This window comes from Homo sapiens, chromosome 8 (genome assembly GCF_000001405.40).
Source record: "Homo sapiens chromosome 8, GRCh38.p14 Primary Assembly".
NCBI classification, from domain to species: domain Eukaryota; kingdom Metazoa; phylum Chordata; class Mammalia; order Primates; family Hominidae; genus Homo; species Homo sapiens.
The window spans coordinates 117,296,470-117,319,634 of record NC_000008.11 but is presented as its reverse complement, the minus strand read 5'-3'; the positions used below and the strand labels follow the sequence as shown (position 1 = coordinate 117,319,634).

Sequence of the window (23,165 nt, the reverse complement as noted above, 5' to 3'; positions counted from 1 at the left end):
CTTGCATAGCCTCTTTCCAAATGTCTGAAAACCATTATTTCATATATTTTGCTTGTTTGCTTAGTTTTTTTAAGGTAACAAGGTAAATCATTTCCCTTATACTTGGTCATGGCCTAAAATAAAAGCTATGAAGTACTTTATGGATACTAATATTCTAAGGAACATAATATATTGAAAATATCTCTCTAAGTCTGTCCCATAGGGAGGTAGTGCGTCTCAGAATCCTATCTTGTACCTAACACACACTTGCAAATTGAGGTAAATATTTGGGAACCAGCTTATTCATTCGAATGTCTACACTGTCTGAGAGGTTCTATTCCACTTGAACTCTCAATACATGCTGTAATGGCTCATGTTTTTGTTCACATTTTGCAGCATGAAATCACCCTTGCTCAGCTTGAATCGGGCTGATTGCCAACCCATTGCTTGGACCACTGCCTGGTTTGATTTGGCTGTAAATATAACTAATATAATGGTTTCACACATGGTTATTTCGGCCATCGTAATATAAGCAGTTACAATCTGCTGCTGGCTAAGTATTTCGATTGCCACTATTCACCATAAAATGTCAGTGTGGTTGTGATTTATAGCGATGACCTTAGTAGGCATAATTGAATTTTTCTGGCATTGTGGAGCTGGAGCACATCTGCAAATCACAGCTGGCAATGTATCTGGTTAATCTAGGCATAAATACAGCTGGGCCAGTGAATAAGCATTCAAAAAGAAAAAAAATCCAAAACAAACGAAACATAACTAGAACCAAGAGCTGATATAGAAATTCCAGTTTATTAACTCATTTATTTACTCAACATCTTGAGTTAAGTAGTAGAATATGTGAGAAATCCAATGTAACACATATGCAAAATAGCATTTAGCCTATTATCTCTTGCATTCCATAAAAACAGATACACAAAATTGCAAAGGAAAATAGCTTTGAAATGTTAACTGATGTAAGTTTGCTGTTGTTTTTCTTGGAATTACCTGTTGCTCCTTGACTCTTTAGCCAATTCAGTTTCTAGTTAGGACTTTGCTAATTTAGTATTTCAAGGTAGTGATGATCCAGACAAAAGAGAGAAAAAAAAGGAAGTTTTTCTCAGGTTTTGAGTTTTAAAGTCTAGGTCTTCCAGATGATAGGAAGGAAAACAGCAATGCTCCTCAGAACTGATACTAGAAAAAGTCTCTCAGAGTTCAAGAAATGGGGAAAGTCAGAGAGGACACATTTTCAGTAGCTATTTGGGCTTCTGCACAAGGGGAGATTGCATGTTGCTCAACCCAGAAGATAGAAGAAGGAATGACAGGGCCCAGAAAGCCTGGAGGAGCTGTGCAAAAGGAATCCATGCCTGCTTTCTTGTGAGAACCTGGAGAAGCAGTAAGAGCTTGTCCACCAGTTCCTTCCAGTTACATAGGTCCAAGACTATTGCATTTTTATTGCACATTCTGAAGTCCTTCACCCAACAAGATGCAGATTCTTCAGAACAATTCTTACATGTCTGAGAGAAGCTCCAAACTTCCTCCAGTTGGGTCTAATCATGGGCTTCTAAAAGAAGATTACCCAAGAATGAATCAGATTTTAGATCCTCACTTACGTAGACCAAGAGAGAGCACTGCAGAGATCAACAACAGGAACGACAGTGCCCTGGTTCTCCCTCCCAACACCTTCCACCTCCTCATCATGCAGAGCCTCCTAAAGTTAAACCCAATCCTTAAGGGAGGAGAAACCCTGAATTGACTGAGAGATGTTTCTGCTAACCAGCAAAATAGGGGATTTGTAATAAAACTGTTAAAAAATAAAAAGGTCTTGTCATAACCAAGTTAAATTACTTTTCTTACACATCTAAGTTTGGAGTTTAAGATTTAAGCCAACTATACGGTAGAAGTTTCTGGGACATCTTTAGCTTGCCATTTTCTGGGCCTTACCTCTAATATCAGCATTGTAAAAGATATTCATTTAGTAAGTCCTGAGCAGATATGCAATTAGAACCCAGAGAAGGAATGTGAGATAACATAATCTGTGAGATACAGCAGCTGAAATTAATCCACGTCAAAACTCAGTGGCTAAAAACAACCATTATTTATTATCACTCGCATGTCTTCGTGTTGGGAGGGGTTTGGAAGCTTTGCTTCCTGGGGTTGGCAGCTTTGCTTCTCGTGTCTTTTATCCTCCTTCTTGGACCAGCAAGACAGCCTGGGTATATTTTTCTTGTGGTGATGGGGGAGGTGCAAAGGGCAAGTAGAAACATAATGCCTCTTAAGTCCTGGTCTAAAAACGAGCCCATTGTCACTTCCACCCACATTGCTTGGTCTAAGCAAATCATGTAGTCAGCCCAAAGCAAGGAGTGGGAAAGTGCACTCTGCTCAAGATGTGATCATGGCAATGGTGTAGTTTCAGACAGGGGTGAATAGTTTTCCAATCATTTAACTGATCACAGGTGAGAGTAAAGAATTTTTTTTTTAAGTGCCGCCTATTGGTAGCCACTTTGCTAAGTGCTTCACATGCTACACATCTAAGTCTGTAAAATGGTATTACATAGTTTGCATATTTCATCCTTTTTTCCCTTAGCATATGAGGAAACAGAGGCTCAGAGAGGCCAAGAATCTTGCCCACTATGCATAGTTAGAGACTGAGCTGAGATTCTAACCTCTATCTGTTAGACTCCAAAGCCTGTGATTTGGAGGAACCAGGCTGTTGGCCAGGTCTCAGGTTTCCTGATGCTTAATCAAGCCCCCTTTTCCTGAATGACCTTGTTTCTAGATGATTAGATAATTCCAAGTGGTCTCTTCTTTTTCTACTTTCAAGCACAGTCCTTCTTCCTTTCCTGTTTGACTTGCTAATTAATTCAATGACTTTTCCTTGATTCCTATTAGTAGGTAACTCCATGATTGATACCATCTGGAAAACATTTATCCAAGTCTTCAGTGGAAAGTTTCACAGAACAGGAGATGTAAAAGGAGACCCACAAGAGGTGCTGTGTTTGCATAAGTGATAAATTACCAGCCCTTGGATTATCTGCCAGGAGCTCTCCCTCCAGGTTTAGGGGCAGCACCTTTCCTGCTGTGGTGCCAGCTGTATTATTTACCACATGTTTAGTAAAGCTTGTGCCTTCTGAATGAAGTGAGGAGGGTGGAAGCACTAAGCTTACATAAACTAGCTTTCAATAGAGTCTATTTTCCTCCAATTGTCTCACGTGCCTTTTCCCTGGGTAGTCATGCTTCATACTTTTAGAAGCTCAGATCCCAACAGCTGGAGATAAAACTCCCAGTGTAATGGAAGAAAACATGTTGATAGTTTTAATTGGTCCCCAAAGTGAAACCCAAGGAATGATTTATTGGTTGATGGTTTTGAGGCTTCCAACTTAGCAGAGCTGGGAAACATATGGGAAAGATAAACACGCTAGAAATTTGTGGCTATTTGTTAGAAAGTTAATTTTAGTTCATTCAGTTTATGATAATCGAAAAATCTCTTTAAATTTTATTTATTATTATTGAAGTTAATGATGCATCTACTTACCTGCAGGCATGAACACCTGCATCTTAGACCATGCTGTGGTTTTCTACCAGTCTTGAATCCTCCAAAGGTCCTAAACCTATTGACCCAAATAGCCAAAATGTCTATTCCCAACCATACAACTTCATTATTCAAGTGGGAAATATCTGGTGAGGCTGAGGAGCTCTGTAAGCACTGAGAGGCTGGCCATCAAAGACACATGAGAACTTCCAATACTGTATACCCACATTCATCAACAATTGTTGCCATAACACCACATAAAAATCAACTCCCAAAGCTTCCTGGGTTATAACAGCAAATGTTTATGGTTTACTCATGAGTATGCACATCGATTTCTTGCTCACAGGACTGCAGGCCAGCTGGTCCCAACTCTGTCTGCTTCAGGTTAAAAATCAGGTTCATGTCAGCTCCTTGTACCTTTCCTTCCAGAACCTAAGATCAAGATGCAGAATCATGGTCATGTTCATCCCATGGCAAAATGCAGAAACACAATAGGGCTAGAGAAAACTAGCTGTGATTTTTTTTTTTTTTTTTTTTTGAGGCGGAGTCTCACTCTGTCGCCCAGGCTGGAGTGCAATGGCACGATCTCAGCTCACTGCAAGCTCCGCCTCCCAGGTTCACGCCATTCTCCTGCCTCAGCCTCCCTAGTAGCTGGGACTACAGGTGCCCGCGACCACGCCCGGCTAATTTTTTTGTATTTTTTTAGTAGAGACGGGGTTTCACTGTGTTAGCCAGGATGGTCTGGATCTCCTGACTTCGTGATCCACCCGCCTCAGCCTCTCAAAGTGCTGGGATTACAGACGTGAGCCACCGCGCCCGGCCTAGCTGTGATTTTTAAAACCTCTTCTTGGAATTGGCGCATTACCACTTTTGTTCATATTCCTTTGGTCAAAACAAATCACATGTTCTCAAGTCAGTGGACCAGGAAAATATACTCTACCCCATGGGAGAGACAGAGAGAAAATATTTGCTAAAAAATAATCTAATAAAACACATCTTTATTTTTATTTTTACAGACTATGACCTTTGTTTATCTCTTCCATACAATTTAGGGCAATTGAGAGTGCAAATAGGAATATGCACATGAAGTAACTCATGGAGAGATAAATAGAATAAGGAAATATAAACTTTTTTTGTAAATTGTAAAATGTCATGTAATATTACAAATAGGAAACCATTTATGAAGCACCCATTATGAACTGTGGAAGGTGAAATGTTGAGAATAAATTATTCATACAAGTCTTTCTGACTACAAAGCCTGCTAGTCTACACTGTATAATGAATTAAAAATATAGTTTTTAATAATAAAAATCCTAGTGATGAGGGCCTTATAATTATCTCTTTTGTGCAAGACATTTTTTGGCAGTGTTCAGGGTAGGTTGAAGAGTTGGCTGAAGGAGAGAAATAAAGAGGAATAAAATCTGAGTTCTACTCTCTAGAAGCATAAGCCTAGTAGTAGAAATAAAATATGTTCATGAGGAACTATAACCCTTCCCTTCCTCTCTTCTTTCCTTCCTTTCATTCTTCTTTCCTTCCTTTCATTCTTCTTTCCTCTCCATATTGTGATGGGGCATAGTATAATGGTTAAGAACACATACTCTGGAGCAAGACTTCAAGGATTTAAACTCTTGCTCTATTAGTTGTTAGGTCTATATTTCTAGGAAGTCATTTAACCGCCATGTGCCTCAGTTTGTTCATTTGTAAAATGGAATAACATCATTTCAACAAAAATTGTTGTCCCACCACATCCCCTTAGCATTTACCTGTATGTCCTGAAGGCTGCTAACGATAAAACTCTTACGAATCTCTGCTGAAGAGCTTTTATTTTCTTTCTTTTTTTTCCTCTTGTCATAGAAGTACAGTCAGCCCATCCAGAGGACTCAGGAGGAGCACTCAACCAATAATAGGCACAGAGATAGTAGACAAATATCTCATCTTCCTCACCCCTAGTTTGATATAACGCTAAGGTTTATTCTGCCTATATTTTATTGTTTCTCAATGAGATTAAGCTCCAGTTACATATTATGATAACTCACTTGACAACCTGTATTTTATTATCTTTTTTTCTCCCCTATCGCACCCACTGCCTATCGTGTTTCCTGGGATAGCTACTCAAATAAACTATTGGCACATAAATTCTTATGTCAGGACTGCTTCTGGAGAATCTAAACTAAAACAATAGTTGTATCTATGTTGTATGGTTGTTGTGAAGATTAAACATATTAACATATGCCTGATGCTCTTAGACCACTGTCTGACATGACATTTAATTTGGTGTTATCTGTTATTACAACACTAGAATGAAAATTCCAAGAGGGCAGAGCTTATTTTTTTTTACATACTTTATTTAAACTGAAAATTTTTATTCTGTTTTTGGTAAAACAGGCTTTTTATGATTTACGAAAATTCTTATGAATTGCAAAAATGTTTTTTTCTTTCCATGTTTTTCCCTGTATGACCGTGTTTTTTCCTGTGTTCCCCCATTCAAGATTGGCTGCCACAATGAGATAGAAAGCACAAGGACTTTTTTAAAAACTTGCATCTGTAGTGGAAAGCTTAGCAGCAGACAGTAACTGCTCTAGGTCTGTCCACATAGATGCAGTTTTATTCACTTTTGAATTTTTAGCATCCATAGCAGTGCCTAATCCATAGCAAGTACTCATAAATATTTGATAATAAATTTAATTAAATACTTGAGGGCCTTCTAGGCTTTGGTGATATGAAAAAATATTGGAATGTGTACATGTCTTGGAGTAGCTTAAAATCTAGTCCTGAATAGTTATATAAGCAGAAAAATTACAAAAAAGATAAAAAGGTCTACAACAGAGGTGATAGAACAAGAACAAGTAAGTAACAGGTAAGTAAGAGGAGATATGATGAGAATGCAGAGGAAAAGATTAAATTTAGGTAGATACGTAGGCAGGAAAAGAAAAGCTTCCTGAGGGAACATTTGCACTGGGCCTTGAATGATGGATAGAAATTTACATAAAGATAAAAACTCATTTGCAGGTTTGGAGTTTTCTCTGTGCCATGCATGTTATATGACTTGCCTCAGAAATTTCTATTTAATGGGATCTAGTTGCAGCCTTTCTTGAGTACTTGTCAGTAGTTAATTTTTCAACCCAAATGATCAGTGACTTTAGGGACCAGCATCTCTGTGGCATTAGTGACAAAAAGAAATAGGATAAAAGGATCCTATGAGCCTTGAAACCAAAAATTGTCAATTTATTCCCAAAGAAGAAAATTGCATAGTAAAAATAAATCTAAGAACAACTGGAACAAAATTAAAGCAGGGCAAAAAAAAAAAAAAGAGCAATTAGGGTCATTGCACTGGTAAATGCAAATGTCCAACAATGATAGACTGGATTAAGAAAATGTGGCACATATACACCATGGAATACTATGCAGCCATAAAAAATGATGAGTTCATGCCCTTTGTAGGGACATGGATGAAACTGGAAATCATCATTCTCAGTAAACTATCGCAAGGACAAAAAACCAAACACCGCATGTTCTCACTCATAGATGGGAATTGAACAATGAGAACACATGGACACAGGAAGGGGAACATCACACTCTGGGGACTGTTGTGGGGTGGGGGGAGGGGGGAGGGATAGCATTAGGAGATATACCTAATGCTAAATGACGAGTTAATGGGTGCAGTACACCAGCATGGCACATGTATACATATGTAACTAACCTGCACATTGTGCACATGTACCCTAAAACTTAAAGTATAATAATAATAATGAAAAGAGAGTAGTTCCCACTAAAAAATACAAAGATATAGAATTGAAAGTCATCATTTTACAAGCCCAACGAAATAACAGAATCAGACAGTAGTGATCAGTCATTTCATAAGTGGCTTACAAAATTGTGCTACGCCCCTGTGCAGCAGCATAAACATCACCCAAGAATTTGTTAGACATGAAACTATTTGGTTCCCAACCCAAACCAATTAAATCAGAAATTTTGTGGTTGGGGCCCAACAATCTCTGGTACAACAAACTCTCCAGGTGATTTTAACGGAAATCAAAAGCTAAGAACTGCTTTATGTCACACTGGCTCACATTACTTCATTCTGCAGAAAAATCAAGGATGATTAAGGCTAATTCAAGGACATCAAAGTTTTCTAGGACATCCTTGTTTTTATTGCTTTCTGATTTTGGCCAAGGTGGAGGTTTGGAGGTGATGGAAACATTTTTTTATTTCGGAGGCTCAATAATGCTGTCATGTTTCTTCTTCCCTTGGTTCTGACCTTTCAGTTAAGACTGTGTCTCAAAAACAATTGCAGAAAGGTCAGAAAGATCTTTTCTATCCAACTTTAGTACCTGGACTATTAAATAGTAATTTTGGTTTCTGAAGCCTCCCCAAGGAACTGGGACAAATTGAGTTAATCAAATTTTCTAGACTCCTTTGGTTTTCCTACAGTCATACAGACCTGGCTCCTGTAATTTCGAATTTCTGAGCCTTTATTTTTGTAGAGAAAATTGGATAATACTCTCAGGTGCTTTAAAACAGTTTGCAATCCTCTTAGCAAAATGACCTATATGTGATAGAAATGTTGCACCAACAGTCCTTGCATTGCTTTGAGCTTTTCATGTGACCATTATAGTGTGTACAGGTATTCTTGATTTGTATAACCTCCTGGAGGGCTGTGTCTGAATTCTGTGGAATTCCCTTTGTAGCAAGCTAAATGCTGCATATCATTAGGTATTAAATTAATGCATTTTGATGATCAAGCTTCTCTGAAGAAAATATTTCTCTTTTGAAATATTTGTGCGTGTGTGTGTGTGTGAGTGCTTTCCATCCTGAGTCCTTTCGACCCAAAGTCCTTGAGATAGCAAAGTCCTTAAAATGCTTGCAACCTGAGTCTTTTAGCTCATAGAAGGTAAATTGGGATCAGGATAACATAATACCACTTCTCACCTCTCCACACATGCGTGACATGAATTCTTGTGCACTACCTCAATATTTCCCCCAAGTAATTCTGAGAGTCCCTAAGTGGTGTTTCACCTGTGAGTGACAAACCTTGTCCTCTTGTATGCCATGTGGGCTCTGCCATTTATTCACCTTCTAGGACTACTCCAACCCCCTGTGGTGAGCCTCCTGGTAAAGTCAGTCCCAAAGCAGCAGCTCAGTAGAGATGGTACCTGTTTAGGATAAAGATGGAAGATGCCAAAAAGCTGCTGCTAAACATTGCCCTGCACACTCATGCTGCCAAAGGAGCAGCGCTGAAAAGGTTGATAAGGATGGCATTTCCTATCACTGCCCAGTGCCTTGTACTTGCACCATATTATGACCACTTTATTGACCTAGCCTTTTGTGGTTTTTAACTGACCTCTTGCAGCCCACTTGTCCTCAGAAGTAGGCATGTGCCTGAGCTGGCGAATTATCAGAGTGTCACATTTGATACCCATGATTACTTCCCTTCCATTCTGGCCCCTTGCTGTAGAGCCTAATCCACATGCTCAGCTCTCAGGCTTTGGGATGAAATTTTCAGACCCACTTCACCAGGTCTTCAGACATGCCCAGATGTGCCTGCATGCTAGGATAAATACGGCTTGAAGGCAATTATTTCTATCCCTGCTTTAGACAAAGTTAGAGGGTAATGTGGTGAGCATAAATTATGGAATAATACCAGATTTGACTCCTTGGAGGCCGTCTGAGCTAAAAAGTGCACTTTAAATGCAAGGGAAGGGAGTAACGCAATGTCCCATCATCTCTAGAAACATGTCTTCATTTACTTCATTCAACAAGTATTCATTAAGTACTTACAATGTTCTAGACCAGGGATTGCAAATAGGTTCCATCTTGTGTGCCAGCTCTGATCAATTGGTGGTTACTGCCTGTAGCCATCTGAGTCTACATGTGGGCTCAGCAGGAAAGTGTCATGAGTGATTAGCAATGCCAGCTATAGAGGAAGGATTAAGTAGTAGTGGCAGCAAACCCAGCAGGTATTTGTTATCCGTGTTCCAGTCTCTAGAGATACAGCAGTAAATAAGATGCATGCATATCTTTAGTTAAATTCCCTGGCAACAAGAATTCACAGGATTAAATTAAATTAAATTAAATTAAATTAAATTAAATTACATTTTGAGGCTCAGATTCCCTTTCCAAAAGATGTCCCTCAGTCATTCAAGCCAACTCTGCCAATCTTGACATGTACTTGTATTTTTCTCCTACTGATTTCATGTTTGCATCTGGATCTGCAGCATCGGCAGCCGGCCACAGCCTCATTCCTTGTTGTTAATGCACAAGACTAATTCATCTCCTGCCTTAAGGAATTGAAAATGACATTACAAAGAAAAATTGCCCCCTGACTCAAGAAAACTCTGTCCTGGACCAATTTCAAAAAGTTCAGCTTCCTACAGAACGATACAATTTGACATCCCAATTAAAGTAACCAGAGAGAAGAGTCAAAGAGGGAATGAAAGGAAGAGACTCACATTTCAAGCCGAAAAGAAAAACCATTTAGTTGACTTGCATGGGGATGAAAGAGACCTCAGCCCCAGAAGCTAATTACCTACAGCATTAATTCAGGATATGAGAGACAAAAAATGTACCTCTGTAAAAATGCCCCAAGATAGTCAATTGAGGCTGATTAGTAAAAGCAAAGCTGGAGGGTAGGAGGGGAGGGTGTGCAGGGAGTTGTGATTCATGGTGTCTTTTCTAATTTCCTAAAGAATCGCCAGCATGTGAGTTCTATAAAAATCGATTAATCATTTGAAGCCAGATGCATTCTTTATTGAACCTGGCCTTTCCTTATTAAATATAGTGATTAAGACCAGAAGTAAGGAAATAATACTTAGCATGATCCATCAAGATTCCTATATATTTTACTGCTAATGAAGCAAAAATACTTTTTTATTCAATAGATATTGAGATAATCAAATATAAAGCCAAACTGTCTCTTCAATTTCCTGACACAATTAATGGATGAATACAATGTTCGTTTAAAAGCAAGGCTTTCCTTTACCTCCACAATCAAAGTAATTAAAGCATCTGGTTGCTTTCCTTTTGGATCCTAATAAGTGGGGAAAAATCATCCGAGTTCTGCAGATAGCAAAGTTTTATCATTCTTGGACTGCTTTATAAAGAAAAAAAAATAGCCTTTGCTAATGAATATCTGTTATGTGTGTTATGTTATCCTATTATTTATTCAATGGAAACTTACCATTTTGTTTTTCTAACTTCTCTTGCTTTTTTTTTCCTGAGACAGCACCTGCTGTCTTCTGGGAATTGTCCTTTCTTCCCCCCAATTCCAACTTCATGATTTTCAGTATAAATGCCAATAATTGAACGTGTTCTTGCTCCTTGTTTCTCTCCACTACAGATCAAGGGGTGGGCACTAGAATCAGGATGGGTCAGAGTTCCTTCCCTGATATTTTAACACTTGGGAACATAGAGAGCCTCACGCTGCCTTTCCTTACTGGCTGAAGTCCTTGGCAGGCATGTTTTCTACCATGCAGCAAGGCAAAGCATGGGTAGCCAATGTATAGAAGGACAGAGTGGAGAGCAAAGTCCTGAAATGAGAGACAGAAGATTCTGACTGAATCCTATTTCTTGCAGAAGTCTAGCAGTATCCATTCCTGTGGCTTGGATCCTCAATTCTTGTATAAGATGCTCCAATACTCTTCCTGTTTACTCCTCATTTTGATTAAGCTAACTAAATTTAAATTTTGGTAACAAAGAGCCAAACTATTGGAGTGCCTACTAAGTGTGCTAGCAATTCACTAGGCAGTAATGCTAAGCAGTTGGGACTATTTCATCTAGCCAGTGGATGGACATTGATAGGAAGATTTTAAGTAATAGTGGGGATTGGGGAAGATTCTGAGGGGTAGTTAGGAATGGGCAGGGATGCTGAGGCAAATTATGCCATTAATAAAAGAATATCATGGCAATTTGCATTCAAATGATCAAAGCCCAGGCCCTGTTCATTTCAGAATCAGTGAGGACACCCTAGTGCAGGATTTACACAGCTAGGAAGTCAGACGATTAGTCTTTTGCCTCCTATCTATCCCCAACTACTTGCTCTCTTTGGCATCACTTGTCAGCTTTGATATCCACATCCTTCCCTAGCATCCCCTTTGGTCAAACTGTAATTACCTTTCCCTGACTTTCAGCCTTCTAGGTGAATTCCCTCCCAGTTTTCATGCTCATGGTGTTCATCCACAGCCAACTGAACTTTGTCCTAGGCCTGACCAATATAGTAGCCACTAGCCACATAAGTCTATTTGAATTTATACTTTTGAAGTGAAAAGTTTAAAAAATTTAATATAGAGCTACTCAGCCAGATATCAAGTACTTGATAGTCACACGTGTCTAGTAGCTACTGTATTGGACATTTCCATCCTGGTAGAAAATTCTATTAGACATCCCTGTCCTACAATGTAGCCCTTGCCTGGCCAGACTACCATTGGTTGCCCTCTTGGTAGCTACTAAGAGAAAATGCATAAACAGAATAATAAAATATAACAGCCAGAAGCGTCCTTATTTCTCCCAGGGATGCAAAACATGTTACAAGTGCCTCCATGCCTCTCCGGTGCCATGCCCTTGGCAGACATCACTAGTTAATCACAGCATTATTTCCCACTGAACCAAGACAGCTTTTACAATCTTTCTGAATGCTATGCTCCTAGAAACTTCTATCAGAAATGACGAGGGTGGATATTTGACATAATCCATTTAGAACCTGATTCAAGTACAATCCCCTCATTTAGCTTAAGAGGAAATCAAAGTCCAGTGAAGCAAATGAATAATAGAACCTGGACTACAATTTAGGCCTTCTGATTAAAAGCAGTATAGCATGTTCATAGGCAAGAAAGCTCTAGAATTAAACTGCTGGGGTTTGGATCCCAGTTCCACCTTTTAATTTCTGTGTGATCGTGTACTTACTGTTTTTAAGCCCCAGTGTCCTCATTCTGAACTGGGAATTTCAATAACAGTACCTTCCTCATATGGTTGTTGTGGGGAGTTAATCCGATAATTAGTGTAAAGTGCCTAGCATATAACAAGTGCAGAATGAATGATAGTTATCACCTCTGTGGCACTTAGGGCTCCAATTAGTATTTCCATCATATAAATGAGAAAGCAAAAAATCGAAGAGGTGAGACTGATGTCAAGTTCACATAGCTATTTCATCGCAGAGAAGTGGTTCTCACCTATGTCAAGTCCAGCACGCTAACCACTGTAACATGTTCTCTAAGCAAATCTTGCTTCTGTAGATTCCCTAAAGTGATTTTTCACCCTTCCAGTGCAGGGCACTGAAAAATTCATGTATTTCTGTTCTTACATAGCCCTTTGACACAGCCGACAAAGATCCTGACAGATAAATTGGTGTGGGCCTGTCTTTCTGGGACCTTCTTGCCTGAGTAAGTTTTTTCACAATCTGTCCATCAGCTAGTTAGAAATGAGCATGTAGGTCTAGGTCAAGTTCTACTTTTTCCACTGCTTCCTAGGTCTTGAAAGTTGTGACTTTATTGTGGAAGCAATAAAATTGTTGTTATTGGATAGATTTTGACTTGTGAAAACTGCATTTTAACTTAATGATTGTTATCTTCATTTGGCAAATAAGAAAAACAGACTCAGAGAACATCAGTAATTTGCCCAAGGATAAACAGCTAATAGGTATTGGAATTGGTATTATTCAAACCTAAATCAGTCTGACTAGGTTGACCACTGTTAACTATGTGTGACCTGGGAGGCTGGGCACCTTATGCAGACAACAAGGATGTCATGGGGGAGTGATAGAGTGGCCAGTCCCACCAGAGGAATACTGCTGACTCTTTGAAGACCACTCTCATCACAGCAAAAGCCTTCAGACATCATGCCTGACAGCCTGCTAGTTGAGAATGCCATTTTAATAAAACTGTATTTTAAACCCCTTGTCAATTACATGCTATTGCAGAATTAACCAAGGAGCCTAAAGCTTTGTCATCCAGGAAGTTTGTTATTTAGGCAACATTTTTATTATTTTTCTATTTCCCTAAAAATCTTAACCCAATCTTTATATTCTTACCAAATTTCCTTCTGTCATTCTTCCTTAGTGGCAAGCAGTACCACTCCTAAAGGTCTTTTGGAGTAAGGCTGTTTAAGGACTATTGCCCCCTAAAATGACTGGTTGGCTTATATTTTTGTATACATTTATAACTTTATAAAAATGAAACTTTCTCCAAGAAGATATTTTTTGAACATGAATGTTTTTTAAACCTGAGTATCATTAATCATCTTTTTTGTCCACAAAGATAAAGCAGATCATTTGTCTAACAATCATATGTCTTTGTTTTATATACTAAATGTAGTTACATTCTCAGGTAGTAGCTAACCTAAAGGTAGTTCTTTATGACATAAGGCTGTGTCACCGTGGTAAAACAGCTGATGGAAATTTTTTTAATGTGCAAGTTAATTGATTGTACTTATATGACTTCAAATATTTAGATTAACTGATTTTTCTTCCTCCAGAAACCTATTTTTTAACCCAACTGGAAAATTGAGTTAAAAAATAGACAGGGTCTCATCCCTTACATATTACATGTTTATCTAAATAAACAGCAAACCTGTCTTGGCATAGAATGCAGAAGAAAATAGGAATCTTGTGAAATTCCTAAGTGGGGTTTGTAAATATTAGTTGTTCCAAGTTTCAGCTAATGATCATATTACAGTATCAGAAGCTGTGATTATATATATTTGGAGTATTTAGAAAGAGGAAAAAAAATTGTAAATCACATGCAAGACCTCTCAATATTTTATCGTGGCCCCCATCACTTCCTCTGGCTATTGGTTATTTTGTTGAGGCATGTAAGTTTAATATGTTTATTTAAAGTATATAATATGTATATATTAAGTATATATGTATATGTTAAATATATTATATACATATTAAACTTACATTATAAGTTAATATAATATGTTTATATATATATATATATATATATGCATAAGAATATATTTTCTGCCCGAGAAATTCTGTTTCTGTAAAACTGGTGGTGAAGGCTATTGTTTCTCTGGGGCCAGGCTGACTACTTCTCTTTTCTGTTTTCAGAATTATTTCAAGACCAGTTTTCTCAGCCATAGAGTATGTGCAGCAGAGGTCTGTATCTTCTGCAGGTTGATGTGCTCCTGTGCAACTGGATGGGTCCCAGTTCATGGCCCCAGGGCCAACACAGACTATTAATGTTTCAATGAATTACCTAAGGAGCACCATGAAAAAAACAGTAAGAGTGCCAGCTTCCCTCAGGGACTCTGAAATCAGGGACATTTTCATCCATTGTCAGTCCTGCTGCCTGAAATGTTTTTCTTGTTAAATCTCAGCTGTGTCATCTTTGGCTTTTTTGGCACTTCTATGCTGAGAGTAGCAGAGACATTCTTAGCTTAGCTTTTTTTTTTTCTTCAGTTTTGTAATTCTCTAGTTCACTGTTGGGTAAGAATAATTTCTAGGCAATTCACAACACATTTAGAATCATTTAGGAGAAGAAGGGGCAAAAAGACACATTCAATCCATGATAAACTAAAATCATTTCCTATTTCCTAGTGAAATAAAAACCAGTTTTCAAATCTGATTACCAGTTTGACTGACACCATGATTCAAGACTTGGACCTTCTATGGCATTCCGCACCAGCTAAGATAATCACTTCTCAACAGTCACAAAGGAACCCAAATGCTATTGTGGTTCTCTAGGTGGATTTTGATTGCACTTGGGCACTCTTTTAGGGCACTCTTTTAAGTCTGGCTTTTTGGTTTGGTTCTGCCTTTGCTGGGTTTTCAGCACATGAAATCCATCTCTGCTGAAGGCATTGTGGAGAGCGTGGGGGAACCACTAGATGGCAGGAGTGCACTACCTAAAATGGGAACCGCGATTAAGCGGCAAGCTTTGGCATTTCTCTGAACACCGGCGGTGAGGGGGTGGGGGGAGAGGGTAGCTGAGTATTGATTGGCCCAGTGACCCCTGTCTCCTCCTCCTCTCTTCCAACTCTAATTGCAATCCTGAATGCTGTTCTCCTGCAGCTTGTCAAGCACTTTGCCAGGATGGGTGGCTTTGAAAATTGTCCTGTTGGACTCCAGGGTGGGTCTGCAAGATGACAGAGCAGCTTTAGTTTAAGGTGTCTGAAAGGTTTTGTTTTGTTTGTTTGTTTTGTTTTGTTTTTCCCCAGCACCATGGTACTGGCAATTGTTTGAAGAAGGTCCTAAATATGCCTGGGTTTGGGAGTCTCGGCTTCTACTGGGAATGATACAAGAGGTCAAGGCTACTTGTAATGAATAAATCCTGTTCTCTGCCACGATTGTTATTTGCTCATTCATTTTCTCTTCCCTTCAGTGTGTATCTTTTTTTTTTTTTTTTTTTTTTTTTTTTTGACTGAGTCTCGCTTTGTCGCCCAGGCTGGAGTACAAGTGGCATGATCTCGGATCACTGCAACCTCCACCTCCAGGGTTCAAGCGATTCTCCTGCCTCAGCCTCCCAAGTAGCTGGGATTACAGGCACGCACCACTGCACTTGGCTAAGTTTTTGTATTTTTAGTAGAGACGGGGTTTCACCATGTTGGCCAGGATGGTCTCGATCTCCTGACCTTGTGATCCGCCTGCGTCTGCCTCCCAAAGTGTTGGGAGTACAGGCATGAGCCACCGCGCCCAGCCTTCAGTATATATCTTAATATACTTGCCTTACTTACTCACTAGCTCCTACCGTGAAATAGGTGCTAGGGATACAACCATAAATGAAACATAGGCCCTGCAAGAAGCTTACAATTGAGGTATGAGAGACACAGGCAGGTAGGCAATTAAGACAGGTGATCATTGCTACAATTAGGTTACAGGACTCTTTAGCATCACAGATAAACTTTCTCATGGGGGTAAAGACCACAAGGACATCTCAAGGACAACTAAGAGTGAGCCAGGCAAATAGTCAGGAAAGGAAAATTCTAACCAAGAGTCCAACCTAGAGATGAGAAGAATATAACCCAACTAAAATGAGAGACAGTGCTGTCACTTGGGGACTTAAGAAGTTGTCTAGCTGAAATATAGACAATGATGACAATGGAGGAGCAGGGAAGGAGAGCAAGTACCAGATTAAAAAGCGTCTTGCATTAGCCTAAATTTACCATATCCGTGGGGAGCCAAGAAAGCCAATGTACAATGTCCTGGTCACATTTGCTCTTTAGACAGGTCATTCTGGTGGCAATTAGAGAACAGGTTAGAGGGAGCCAAGAGGGGAGCAAGTTAAGCTCAGCATTTCTGATAGCCACAACTAAAGAGCAGCCAGGGGATAGACAGAAGCCGGTCAATGGGAAAGGGTTATTAGGCGAATAGAAAGGATACTTGGAGATTTAATTATATATGTGGGGTAAGATAGCAATACAGGAACTCCTCACGTGAAGTCGTTGATAGGTTCTTGGAAACTGCAACTTCGAGTGACACAATGTACAGCAGGTCCTCTAATAACATCCTTTTGTTCAACATAGTTTGTTAAAATGTTGATGAGGAAAAGGAATTGTTCCGTTATGCATTATGTCACTTCAAGTCACGGTTTCCCAGAATCTAGTGACGACCTTAAGTGAGGATTAACTATATTCTCAAGAATAACCTCTTGGCCTTCATCTGGGGAGACTGCAGAGATTATTTTGCCATTAACTGTGTATAATACTAGGCAGAAAGTTAATTCTAAACCCTGATAATGTGCAGTATGCTTTGTTAGAATGTAAATAGCATGAAACTATGGTTATTTAATGAATATTCATTAATTCAATTCATTCATTCAAACAACATTCATGGATCATTTACTTTTCATAAGGTAATATGCCAGGTCTGCATACCACAACAGGATGCCAAAAAGTTACTGTTTTCCAATCTTCAGGGGGCTTAAAGAACATTGTTTTCTTCTTAATAGATGATTTCTGTTGACTGATTTTTGCTTCTATTATATATTTTGAATTTTGACTACATATGATATTATTTTTAAAAGTCATTTTTATATAAACCTCATCACTTCACCTGGACAAAAATTTGCTTGGGGTCAGTTCAACAACCATAACATTGATACCTCCACAAAAAGCTGTTTGAAAATATTTGTCGAGTAAAATGAAATACAACTATAATTTTTATAATTTCTAAAGGTACTTTTGACACATAGTTTCGGAATCTCCTACCATTGGTATTATGAAAATTAAAAAAAAGAGAGAGAAAAAATAATTAGGTTGAGTTTCATCTAAAATCCTCTCCTTCTGGAGACATTCTCATAATATTGCAAGCAAGTAGAGCTGAAAAAATAGTAGAGTAACTGGATTCTATAATGTGAGAATTGGATATATTACTGAGAGTATCCCTAATAGCTAGGAAACCTTACATTAAATATACATACAGCAATGACCTGCTGTTTGTATGTCCTTAGTAAACATTTGCTGAGGTCCTGTGTGGTGGCAGTACATTAGGCACTGCTGATAACAGAGTTAACAAAACAGGCACAGTCCCTCTTCTCATGATGCTTAAGATCTAGTGAGGACAACAGATCTTAGACAAGAAAATACACACATACTATATTCCCATAATGAATATGAACCTGTGTTAATCCACCAAGAGGTTTTTTGCTCATGATCACACATTTGTGGAGGAAATATGTAATAATGCTCATGAGACAGAGAAAAACAAACACAAGGATGTGAATCCATTGCCTCAGTCATCATTACAGAGCTAGAATTCAGTCATTCATGGTCAAATGAAATAAACACCTAATGAGAAGAGATAGGTAGTCTCCCAGGTCCTTAGAAAGAGCCTCTGCACCAGAGGTGGCAAATGTACTAGGCTTCATCTCATTTATCAATTCGAATTGATTTGAAGTGGCTGCCTGGAGTGCCATGCTGAGCAGGACTTAGTGGGAAAGAGGAATTGTTTTTCAAATGAACAATTGCTTAGGAAGACAGGGGGTGACACATGGCATACATTTGTTAACCTTTCACTACACCATGGCTTAATCAATAATATTGGCATATTTAAAGAAGACATGGAAAAGTTGAGATGAATGTCTGGAAACACAAGGATCAGAGAAGCAACCTAGGTTAGGGGCCACGGCATTCCTGAATCTGGGAGGCTCTGATATTCAGGTCTGTAGGCAGGTGAATGCTGTTGAGGGGCAGACATATTTGATCAGGCTTCATTGTGGCATCAGGACCCTTGAGAATCTATTTTTCTTTGCTCAAATTCTATGCTCAATGGAGCCTTTTAATTCAGCTGCTAAGTTCACCAAGACCAGGAAAGAAGACAGCCGGTAAGAAGTTTGGGGTCACTGGAAACAACTAAAATCCAGTTTCTGAAACTGTTAAGTCAGAGGATTCGGTCCCTGGTTATGTAATTCATTCCAAGATCACGCCCTCCTAGAGTTTCTTATTGGTCAGTCTGGCCTGGCCATAAACATTGCCTCAAAGTGACTATTTTTTTTTTTTTTGACTTTGATGAACCCACATGAAGTTTTATCAGTTAGCCAAATAAGCTAATTTGTAAAATATATAACCAATGCAGAAGACTGATCACAGAAGCAAATTATTCAAGAAATTCACAGTCTTATGTTTGGACCAATACAAACTTTAAAAGTAAACAAATGTGACAATCGAAACATATACAAATTCAATTTTGATGATTTTTTTTTTGGCAAAAAAGTACTATTCATTTTCTCTTCTCACTGGCATCTTCCCCTGATCTACTTGCAATTTCTGCAGAAGTCTGCTTTTGAATGTATTTAAATGCAAATTCTAAGTTTACCCACACACTTCTGTTAATGATGTGAGAATTCTAATGTATTTTATTTCTCAGTTAAAAGATGAAGCAAAATGCAAATTTGAAGAACATTGAAGGAATTTTCTTTCTGCCTTTTAAAATACCTGGAACAAGTGCCATCCTTCAAGTTGAAATACACACAAAAAAAATGCCTAATAACATTTGCTATTTGGCCTTGGCAGTTGGCATTGTATTTTTTGCAAATGAATACCTCAGGATTGAGTCACAGAAACTGTGTGCCACATAAAAGTGCATGTGAAGTAACTTTCTTCACAAAAAAGAAGGGCTTGAAAACACTGTAGGCTCAATAAAACACTTTTCTGATGGCTCAGCAGTCTGAGAAGTTCATTTGGAAGTGGGGCTAAAATGGAAAAGAATGGGAAGGAGACAGCAGTTGGGAGCAGAGGGCAGAAGACAGGTAGAAGGAGAGAAGGAAAAGTCATAATCAACCAGAACTTCAGGCAAGACAGGGTGGTGACTGGGTTAGGCATTATAGAATATTTGATAGATTATCTCAACTGTGAGCATCAGGCTAAGGCATTGATTCAAGGGGTTACGGTTTTCAAAACACAAGCCACATAAAGCATATTACAACCCCTGTAACAAATTTATAAATGGCCACAAATTTCTCCCATCCCAAATCAAGCAATGAGATTTTGTGACTTTTCCTATCCAAAGGTGTAGTCAAACAAAGCCCCTCTCACATGGACTCTGCCAGCCACGTAACTTGTGTCAGCAAATGGGACCTCTGCACCTGTGACACAGAAGCTTGAAAAGCATGTGTGTGCAAAGGGGCTGGCTCTGTGGGAACATTACTTGAGACCTGTTCTATTCTATTGAAGTATATGAGGGGCTGAACTGGTTCCCTATTGCTGCTATAACAAATTATTGTGAACTCAGTGACTTAAAATGCCACACACTTATTTTCCCATAGTTCTCAAGGTCAGAAGCCTAAAATGGGTCAGTGTATTAGGCTGTTCTAGCATTGTTGTGAAGAAATACCTGAGACTGGGTAATTTATAAAGAAAAGAGGTTTAATTGTCTCATGGTTCTGCAGGCATTCCAGGAAGCATGGTGTTGGCATCTGCTCAGCTTCTAGTGAGACCTCAGGAAGCTTACAATCGTGGTGGAAGGCAAAGGGAGAGTAGGTGCATCACATAGTGAAAGGAGGAGGGAGGGAGTGAGAGTTGAGGTGGGAGGTGCTATTTACTTTAAATGGCTAGATCTGGCAAGAACTCACTATTGTGAAGACAGCACCAAGCCATGAGGGATCCGTCCTTGTGATCCAGACACCTCCCACCAGGTTCTACCTTCAGCACTGGGGATTACAATTCAACATGAAATTCGGGTGGGGACAAATATCCAAACTATATCAGTCAGCAAGATGGCATTCCTTCTGGAGGCTCCAGGGGAGAATTCACCTTGATGCCTTTTCCAGCTTCTAGCCACCGCTGGGATTCTTTCTGGTGGTCCCTTCCTCACATGGCTCCAACCATGCTTTTTGTTATCACATCTCCTCTGACCCAGATTCTTCTGCCTCCTTCTTAGAAGGTTCTTTATGATTAGATTGGGCCCACCTCGATAATTCAGGATAATCTCCCCATTTCAAGATCCTTAACTTACTCCCCATCTGCAACGTTTCATTTGTCGTGTGACATCACATATTCGTATTCACAAATTTTGAAGATTTAGAACATGCACATCTTTTGGGAATCATTTTTCTGTCTACTACTGAGATCAAATACAGGAGAAAAAAGGAGCCTCAATCCGGAGCCCACACTGAGGTACCAGATAGGTGAATGAGGCCAGCTTGGCTTTTCAATCCCAGTCCAGAATGGAGCTATGTCAGAGAACCCACATGGGATCAGCAAAAGAAAAAGCCATACTACAAAATTACAAAAAATAATACAAAATTCATTTTTAATTTCTTTTGGATTTGGGCCATATAATCCATAAGCCCTGATTTAAATAATTTATGTTTACAATAATTTCCATCAACCTTTTGGAAACCTGGAATTTTATATCTTTATTGGCAACAGTAAAATTTAAAGAAGAGAAATAGCTTTACAACTTCTTCAAATTGTCCCACTCCTCACGGTATGAGAATTCATACCATTCTTATAGTGTACACACACATTATATTTTCCAACTTACCTATAAATATTACTACTTTCTGAAAAGGTTAAGAAATAAGAGATGAAAAGGATTTTCAATTCAACATCCTAATGGTTCTCTAGTAAATATTTGCTTGTTTCTCTGAATCTCTGTGTCTCTTTCTTGAAGTAATTTTAAATGCTAAGAGGTACTTGTGGCCCTTATCAGTGTCATTGGAAATTGTTCCAATTTCTTATTTTCTAAAATCTCGGATGCTTAAAAATAGTCCCATTCATCCCAACTCTTGGAATCACAGAACAGTCTATATCACAGTCTCCGTGATGTTTTTATATTCATAAGACATTTATGGACTACTCTGTTCCAATTAAATCATCATCTGTCATTTGAAATTTGTGAAGCACTAATCTCTGCATTGGGATCTATGGAAAGCCATACAAATCAAGTTTAAAAGACAGGGTCACAACTCTCTAAGGAGTTCAATAAAATTTAATTCCACATGCTCATTGGGGGAACAATAAAAGGTCTCTTTGGTCCTTCATTAACTCTAATATTAAATACTTGATTTGCAACTCAAGATCCTGACTTTGAAGATTATTATTTTGCCTTCTAGGTCATCTTCCTGGAACTTTATCTTGAATATCAATTTCATTGTCTTGGAAGCTGGGCAAATCTGAGATTGAAAACTCTTAGTTACATTTTTCTATTGTAGGGTGTTAGGGAGATAAACAAAGAGAGGAATATATATTCTATTTTCCAAAGTTTCTTTGATGAGTGTGAGTGACTGATCAATTATTCTACATTTATGTCATATCTTCTAGCTTACCTGAGATTTCTCCCTCTGTGGCCATGTGGCAGTTTTAAAACATGTCTATGAATTATTTGAAACTTTGCACACGGAGAGGTGAGTTCTGTCTCCTCTCTTTTACTAATATCTAAGCCTGCCTTAGTAACTTTCTTGTAAAGAGTGGAATGCAGCTGCATAACTTTAGAGACTACCTCTGGAAAGGCCTGGCAGCTTCTGGTTGGATTTCTCAGGACACTCACTCTGGGGGAAGCCAGACACCATGTGAGAGCCCCTGAGACCACCATGCTGCACAGGCCCTGTATAGGCTCTCCAGTCAGCAAATCCAGCTTAGCTTCCAGCATGTAAAATCCAGCACCAACTACCACCCATGTGAGTGAGCCCTTCTGATGTCCTACCTGCTACAGCCTTCGGATGACTGCAGTGCCAGCCTGTATTTGACTGCAACTGCATGACAGACTCTCAGTACCATCTACTCAGATAAACCCTTCTGTAATTCTTGACTGGCCAAATGGTGAGCAAAATAGAATGATAGGTATCTTCTATCACTACATTGTGGAGCAACAGTAACTAGAATAGGCTCAAAACAAAAAGCTTGAGTAGGTGTCTAGCTGCATTTAAATCAATTTCCCAATCAAACAAGGCCTTGTGGAAAAAATTTAATTCTTGTTCCAGGTTGAGGAACCTGTTCTGCGAAAGAGGTATCTTGTTGAGAAGAGTCACTGAACCTGGGTAGTAGGAACCTAGAATTGTAGACTAAGAATTGCGACTAATTGCCGTGTGAATTTGATCAGAACATTTTCTCTCTAGGACCTAATCTCCTTATCTGTAAAATAGAAAGTTTGGGATAAATAATATATATGATTTCTTCTCTACTTTAAAGTTTTGTAACTCTAACAATTTTTAAGAACCGTTGAGATGGACAAATCAATTCAATGAGTTGGTATGGAATATCTCCTAGAAAAAAGCATCCCATTTCT

The 23,165-nt window shown here is 38.9% G+C and overlaps 2 long non-coding RNA genes across 8 annotated transcripts in view; one reads left to right on the top strand and one right to left on the bottom strand.

Moving 5' to 3' along the window:
• The window catches only part of LOC105375716 (uncharacterized), a 436,284-nt gene that overhangs the window by 201,086 nt on the left and 212,033 nt on the right, over positions 1-23,165 (top strand). For 2 of the 7 annotated variants that reach the window (XR_928572.3, XR_928571.2), the window contains 3 exons: positions 12,805-12,879; positions 14,550-14,721; positions 15,659-15,782. The exons of the other annotated variants lie outside the window; for them this stretch is intronic. This is a non-coding gene — a long non-coding RNA (uncharacterized LOC105375716). Of the gene's footprint in view, positions 1-12,804; positions 12,880-14,549; positions 14,722-15,658; positions 15,783-23,165 lie in introns of those variants that run through there. 7 annotated transcript variants of the gene reach the window in all.
• LOC105375717 (uncharacterized) overlaps positions 8,552-23,165 on the bottom strand; it is a 37,330-nt gene continuing 22,716 nt past the window's right edge. The window contains exons 5-6 of the long non-coding RNA XR_928573.3: positions 9,284-9,487; positions 8,552-8,658 (exon numbers count right to left, since the gene is read on the bottom strand). This is a non-coding gene — a long non-coding RNA (uncharacterized LOC105375717). The remainder of the gene's footprint in view (positions 8,659-9,283; positions 9,488-23,165) is intronic.